The sequence below is a fragment of the Homo sapiens genome, chromosome 3 (genome assembly GCF_000001405.40).
Source record: "Homo sapiens chromosome 3, GRCh38.p14 Primary Assembly".
NCBI lineage: Eukaryota > Metazoa > Chordata > Mammalia > Primates > Hominidae > Homo > Homo sapiens.
The window spans coordinates 103233817-103241797 of record NC_000003.12 but is presented as its reverse complement, the minus strand read 5'-3'; the positions used below and the strand labels follow the sequence as shown (position 1 = coordinate 103241797).

At 37.7% G+C, this 7981-nt stretch overlaps 1 pseudogene; it reads right to left on the bottom strand.

The window, feature by feature from the left end:
• Nucleotides 400–885, bottom strand: COXFA4P2 (COXFA4 pseudogene 2; annotated as a pseudogene).

Below are 7981 nucleotides of genomic sequence, written 5' to 3'. Positions count from 1 at the left end.
CAATCCATAACAAATGGGCCAGATTTTATTTGCATTACCATTCCCAGGAGCAAATTTGCAAGGATGTAGGCATAAAGGTGCATGTTTTACATTTTAGGGATCTGACATTGTTCTATGACAGCAAGGATCTTAGTTCAACGAAATGATTAATTTTTGCTTTAGAATATCCTCTCCCTTTGTTTCCACTGTCAAGTGGATAATTTTTATTCCAAAACACACATGAGAAAAACTGATAATTTAGGTTTTCTTCACAAGATCAAAGCTGTGCATCATAAGACAAGTGTAGAAGCACCATGCTCTCTACATTCTCAGAAATAAGCCTGATCTCTCTTCAGAATGGGGCAGTTAATTTAGTAGCTCATTAGTAAATGAAAAGATTTTATGGCACCTGTTTTATTTTCAAGTTTCAGTTATTTATTAATCAGTATAATCTCCAATAGATTACATCAACATGATTTCATGCATTTAGAGGAGAAATATTTCCTTGTTAAGTTGAAAATTGTGCAGATGGCTTCTGGAAGACCTTCATTCTAAAGTAGCTTTATAGTGAAACATTTCATTTAGAAATCTGGACCTTCTTTCTTTAGTTTGCTGTAATCCACATTCACTGAGTAGAACTTGTACTGATCATTGGGATCCAGTTTGTTCCAGGGCTCTGAGTTATTCTTTCTGTCCCAATTAACATCTGGATTGAACAATGCCAGAAACAAGAGATACAGTGCTGCTCCAGTATCTCCAACTCCAATAAATACAAAGAGGGGCATCAAGCTTGGATGCTTCTTGACCTGACTAATGATCTGGCAGAGTATGTTTGTGGCAGAGGCCTCCAACTGGAAAGGAGAGAACCAGCTTAGCCACTAGGCCCTGGGCTAAGTAGTATCTGCATATGTTTTTAAGTGCCACTTCACATGAGTAGCAAAGGGCAGAAACTGACAACTCACAAAGTAACCTAAGAGTGGCTTTAAAAAAATGGGTGTTTACATAATTCTGAATCTTCTCTTGAAATTATTGGAACATCTGTCAATGTGTCACATTCTTAAAATTGGCTGAGTCTCAGTAACAGAGGCTCTCCTCCTCTCCCAACAAAGGGCCTGGACTTTCCATCTTGCAAAAGTCCATTTTTTCCTTAGTGTCCCTCTGACACTGACTTCTAGAGTCAACTTCCTTTTCACTAACTCACCTCAGCAGCTTATTAAAATTGTCTGAGTCTAATGACTATTCTAATTGGCAATCTCTAATTAAAATCAAGATTCTTTAAGCATATTGTAGGAAAATACTTGTTTGATAATTTGAATTAAACTTTAACCTCCATGGAATGAAAGTGAGTTGAGTGTTAATGGCAGAGATCTTGTATGGGATGTCCAGATAGACTATAGACTTTGTCATTATTTTTAAATCAAGTTCAGGTTGGGACTCAAACCCATTAACACAAAGCCATCTTTCACCTACCTAGTGTGAGAAGGGAATAACCAGCACCATATAGATCAATAAAATAATTAATTAAATCTGTAAAATAATAATCATGATTATATTATGTGCATATTCCAGTGTGTTGACTATTAAGAGGTATTTGTTTCATGTGGTGCTTATGTGGACATTAGAGAAGAAACATTTTTTTCACAAGTCCTTCATCTTGTCATTGAAGCAGAAATGCTCAATAATGCTGTGATTCTGCTGTATTGTTTGTTAGATACAAACTTTTCAGAGAAAATCTATTGGGCTCAGGTCTTGTTCTAGCCATTGTACATCTGAATGGTATTAAAGTGAATTTCTCTAACAATAACTTTCACTATGCTTGCCACATTAGTAATGTATGACTAAAAAGAGGGAGGAAAAGCTAGAAAAAAAGATTTCTCCAGAAAACTTGAACAGAGATTTTATCCTGATTTGCCTTTTCATCTTTTTGTAAAATTAGCATAGAAAGGTAAACACAAAACTACATCTTAACTTTATAAAGGCATTAGCACCTTTTAAGCACCAACTTTGAAACTAGATCTAACAATATATTCATCATCAAATCAAAACAGCAAACTTAATAACAATTAGAAATGATACTGAGTGCAAAATCAAATAACCCAAAATGTCATGCGATCATTGAGAATTTCATCACTAAAGGCTTTGCCGGCAGAGTGATGGCCACGTGTGCAAGGTAATTATATGAAATGCCAAAAGACCAAGCTGATGGGGAAAAAAAAAGTATTTGGAAAAATTGAAAAATAAGCTTTCAACATTTTGAAATACACCCACATCTTGATAAGCAAACTAACCAACTCCACCTTGGGAGATAATTCTCCATGGGTAATTTCTCCATTGTCTTTCTGTGCAATGTTATTATGCACAGAGTCACTTGTTTGGGACTGTTTTTTCAAGGATGTCTATATTACACATGTCCTTGGAAAATGGAGACAGTGTGTCCCTGCAGGAAGCAAATATTGGGCAGGTCTGCTTACAGCCCAATAGAGAAGATTAACATTAACTGTCCTTGGTGTTGCTCAGGTGTGATGCAAACTCACTGAGTGAACAGATTCCACCTAGAATTCTCTGTCTTGCCCCTATAGAATTTGAGGAGCAAGAAAAACTGGTGTGAATGTAAAGCTTAGGCTGCTTGCTGTGCCACAACGATAAAGTCCTTTTATCTAAATCAGGATTGTCATGTCTTCTAATTTCATCAGTGAGATTTCGGACTTACTACACTGTAAGTGTTCGATATGGTAATATCTCAGATCCCTCATAATTTTTGACAATGCAGCAGAGCCTAAGGTAACATTTTTACCTTAGTAATTGTATCTGTTTCCAAACTTTGTAATTTCTGACTTATAAATGGAAGTTGATTTTAAAAGTCACCAGAAAATACAATTCTGGAATCATTTATTCAATCTTTGTTTTCTGGTAATAATTTGATCTCATGGCCCAGTTCATTGATTAAACAGTATAAATAAAACTTACAAATATTAATTAAAACCCCCCATTGCAGACCTTTCTGCACCTCTCTGCTTATAGTATAAAATTAGTCAACAAAATAGACATTAACTAAAATAAAAATATTGGGTGTGATTTCTGCTAAGTCAATAAATTTGAGACTTCGGTCATAATCTAGAATACAACACTGACACTGAAATTTCATTAATGCACATAGCAACTTCACGGCTGACTTAAATTTCCAAAGATGAAATCATGGGTCTGAATTGACCTAGCTGTCTCTGCTTCCTATGATTTCTTTTCCATGCTTTCTATGCTCCTCCTTCTTCGGGTATTCCAAAAGATCTTTAAAATTGTGCTATTAGAGATAGGGTGGTTTCTATAATATATTCATAAAATTACAGTTTATGAGATATATCCACAGATTCCATTGTTTTATTCCTGCTCTTAGTTTTTGGTTAAGAATAGCCCAAATTTTAATTTCTTCTGTATTCTCTATAATTGTGTCAAAATAGCATTGGAAGATAATATCCATGTGAAACAAGTTTCTGAAAATTAATGATATGTAAAGCTCAAAATAACTGCATGGTGCTGTTTTTCACATAAATACAATTTTTTTAAAATACATGACTCTTCTGACATATTCCCTTATAAAGCCATGTTAATAGTGAAAATGACCCCAGATCTGTTTGTTCCTCATTCATCAAGAGCAGTGAAATAGCTGGCTGGTAGATGTTATATGATATTTATCTTTTTCTGTTAGGTTATAAGAAAAGTAGTTCATGTGGCACGAAGACACACCCAAACTTTATTCATGAGTTTCCCATCCTAACACTAGCAACAGAAGAGTTATCACCTTTCCTTAAAGACTCCTGACAAGTAGTTTCTGAAATATAAGATTTTGGAGAACACCTAAATCTCTAAAATTATCTATATGAAGACTTAGACATGAAGATGTGAGTGAATTTGTCCTTGGCCATAAAGTCTGTCAAAGGGAAGACTGGAATTTGAATGAAAACATCTTGATACAGATGTTCATGTACATGGTTCATTGCTCCTCTAATCTACCACCCTCATAAAAATTTCTCACTTTTCTTGTAAATTTATTGCTAATTTTAAATAAACAATAGAATTGTAGACTGTCCAATGTACAGAAAATAGAAAAAAATTAGTCTAGACATGAGATAAATTCTTGTATCAAGCATCATCCTGTCTAGGAATGCATCCCCAACAGTATTTAACTTCTAGGCCACCCCATCCCTAGCCAATCTATCTTGGATACCTCCTTTCTGTTCCCTGTAGTTCCCTAGGTTTTTCTCAATCAAAACAGGAATACATCAACAACAAGTGTCCTTTTTTTTTTTTTTTTTTTTTTGAGACAGAGTCTCACTCTATCACCCATGCTGGAGTGCAGTGGCGTGATCTCGGCTCAATGCAAACTCTGCCTCCCAGGTTCACGCCATTCTCCTGCCTCAGCCTCCCGAGTAGCTGGGACTACAGGCACCCGCCACCAAGCCAGGCTAATTTCTTTTCTTTCTTTTTTTTTTTTATTATTATACTTTAAGTTTTAGGGTACATGTGCACATTGTGCAGGTTAGTTACATATGTATACATGTGCCATGCTGGTGCGCTGCACCCACTAACTCGTCATCTAGCATTAGGTATATCTCCTGATGTTATCCCTCCCCCCTACCCCCACCCCACAACAGTCCCCAGAGTGTGATATTCCCCTTCCTGTGTCCATGTGATCTCATTGTTCAATTCCCACCTATGAGTGAGAATATGCGGTGTTTGGTTTTTTGTTCTTGAGATAGTTTACCGAGAATGATGATTTCCAGTTTCATCCATGTCCCTACAAAGGACATGAACTCGTCATTTTTTATGGCTGCATAGTATTCCATGGTGTATATGTGCCACATTTTCTTAATCCAGTCTATCTTTGTTCGACATTTGGGTTGGTTCCAAGTCTTTGCTATTGTGAATAATGCCGCAATAAACATACATGTGCATGTGTCTTTATAGCAGCATGATTTATAGTCATTTGGGTATATACCCAGTAATGGGATGGCTGGGTCAAATGGTATTTCCAGTTCTAGATCCCTGAGGAATCGCCACACTGACTTCCACAATGGTTGAACTAGTTTACAGTCCCACCAACAGTGTAAAAGTGTTCCTATTTCTCCACATCCTCTCCAGCACCTGTTGTTTCCTGACTTTTTAATGATTACCATTCTAACTGGTGTGAGATGGTATCTCATTGTGGTTTTGATTTGCATTTCTCTGATGGCCAGTGATGGTGAGCATTTTTTCATGTGTTTCTTGGCTGCATAAATGTCTTCTTTTGAGAACTGTCTGTTCATGTCCTTTGCCCACTTTTTGATGGGATTGTTTGTTTTTTTCTTGTAAATTTGTTTGAGTTCATTGTAGATTCTGGATATTAGCCCTTTGTCAGCTGAGTAGGTTGCGAAAATTTTCTCCCATTTTGTAGGTTGCCTGTTCACTCTGATGGTAGTTTCTTTTGCTATGCAGAGGCTCTTTAGTTTAATTAGATCCCATTTGTCAATTTTGGCTTTTGTTGCCATTGCTTTTGGTGTTTTGGACATGAAGTCCTTGCCCACGCCTATGTCCTGAATGGTAATGCCTAGGTTTTCTTCTAGGGTTTTTATGGTTTTAGGTCTAACGTTTAAGTCTTTAATCCATCTTGAATTGATTTTTGTATAAGGTGTAAGGAAGGGATCCAGTTTCAGCTTTCTACATATGGCTAGCCAGTTTTCCCAGCACCATTTATTAAATAGGGAATCCTTTCCCCATTGCTTGTTTTTCTCAGGTTTGTCAAAGATCAGATAGTTGTAGGTATGTGGCGTTATTTCTGAGGGCTCTGTTCTGTTCCATTGATCTATATCTCTGTTTTGGTACCAGTACCATGCTGTTTTGGTTACTGTAGCCTTGTAGTATAGTTTGAAGTCAGGTAGTGTGATGCCTCCAGCTTTGTTCTTTTGGCTTAGGATTGACTTGGCGATGTGGGCTCTTTTTTGGTTCCATATGAACTTTAAAGTAGTTTTTTCCAATTCTGTGAAGAAAGTCATTGGTAGCTTGATGGGGATGGCATTGAATCTGTAAATTACCTTGGGCAGTATGGCCATTTTCACGATATTGATTCTTCCTACCCATGAGCATGGAATGTTCTTCCATTTGTTTGTATCCTCTTTTATTTCCTTGAGCAGTGGTTTGCAGTTCTCCTCAAAGAGGTCCTTCACATCCCTTGTAAGTTGGATTCCTAGGTATTTTATTCTCTTTGAAGCAATTGTGAATGGGAGTTCACTCATGATTTGGCTCTCTGTTTGTCTGTTGTTGGTGTATAAGAATGCTTCTGATTTTTGTACATTGATTTTGTATCCTGAGACTTTGCTGAAGTTGCTTATCAGCTTAAGGGGATTTTGGGCTGAGATGATGGGGTTTTCTAGATAAACAATCATGTTATCTGCAAACAGGGACAATTTGACTTCCTCTTTTCCTAATTGAATACGTTTTATTTCCTTCTCCTGCCTGATTGCCCTGGCCAGAACTTCCAACACTATGTTGAATAGGAGCGGTGAGAGAGGGCATCCCTGTCTTGTGCCAGTTTTCAAAGGGAATGCTTCCAGTTTTTGCCCATTCAGTGTGATATTGGCTGTGGGTTTGTCATAGATAGCTCTTATTATTTTGAAATACGTCCCGTCAATACCTAATTTATTGAGAGTTTTTAGCATGAAGGGTTGTTGAATTTTGTCAAAGGCTTTTTCTGCATCTATTGAGGTAATCATGTGGTTTTTGTCTTTGGCTCTGTTCATATGCTGGATTACATTTATTGATTTGCATATATTGAACCAGCCTTGCATCCCAGGGATGAAGCCCACTTGATCATGGTGGATAAGCTTTTTGATGTGCTGCTGGATTCGTTTTGCCGGTATTTTATTGAGGATTTTTGCATCAATGTTCATCAAGGATATTGGTCTAAAATTCTCTTTTTTTGTTGTGTCTCTGCCTGGCTTTGGTATCAGAATGATGCTGGCCTCATAAAACGAGTTAGGGAGGATTCTCTCTTTTTCTATTGATTGGAATAGTTTCAGAAGGAATGGTAGCAGTTCCTCCTTGTACCTCTGGTAGAATTCGGCTGTGAATCCATCTGGTCCTGGACTCTTTTTGGTTGGTAAGCTATTGATTATTGCCACAATTTCAGCTCCTGTTATTGGTCTATTCAGAGATTCAACTTCTTCCTGGTTTAGTCTTGGAAGGGTGTATGTGTCGAGGAATTTATCCATTTCTTCTAGATTTTCTAGTTTATTTGCGTAGAATTGTTTGTAGTATTCCCTGATGGTAGTTTGTATTTCTGTGGGATCGGTGGTGATATCCCCTTTATCATTTTTTATTGCATCTATTTGATTCTTCTCTCTTTTTTTCTTTATTAGTCTTGCTAGTGGTCTATCAATTTTGTTGATCCTTTCAAAAAACCAGCTCCTGGATTCATTAATTTTTTGAAGGGTTTTTTGTGTCTCTATTTCCTTCAGTTCTGCTCTGATTTTAGTTATTTCTTGCCTTCTGCTAGCTTTTGAATGTGTTTGCTCTTGCTTTTCTAGTTCTTTTTTTTTTTTTTTTTTTTTTTGAGACTGGAGTCTCACTCTGTGGCCCAGGCTGGAGTGCAGTGGCGCTATCTCGGCTCACTGCAAGCTCCGCCTCCCAGGTTCCCGCCATTCTCCTGCCTCAGCCTCCCGAGTAGCTGGGACTACAGGCGCCTGCAACCACGCCCGGCTAATTTTTTTGTATTTTTAGTAGAGACGGAGTTTCACTGTGTTACCCAGGATGGTCTCGATCTGCTGACCTCATGATCCGCCCGCCTCGGCCTCCCAAAGTGCTGGGATTACAGGCGTGAGCCACTGCACCCGGCCTTCTAGTTCTTTTAATTGTGATGTTAGGGTGTCAATTTTGGATCTTTCCTGCTTTCTCTTGTGGGCATTTAGTGCTATAAATTTCACTCTACACACTACTTTGAATGCGTCCCAGAGATTCTGGTATGTTGTGTCTT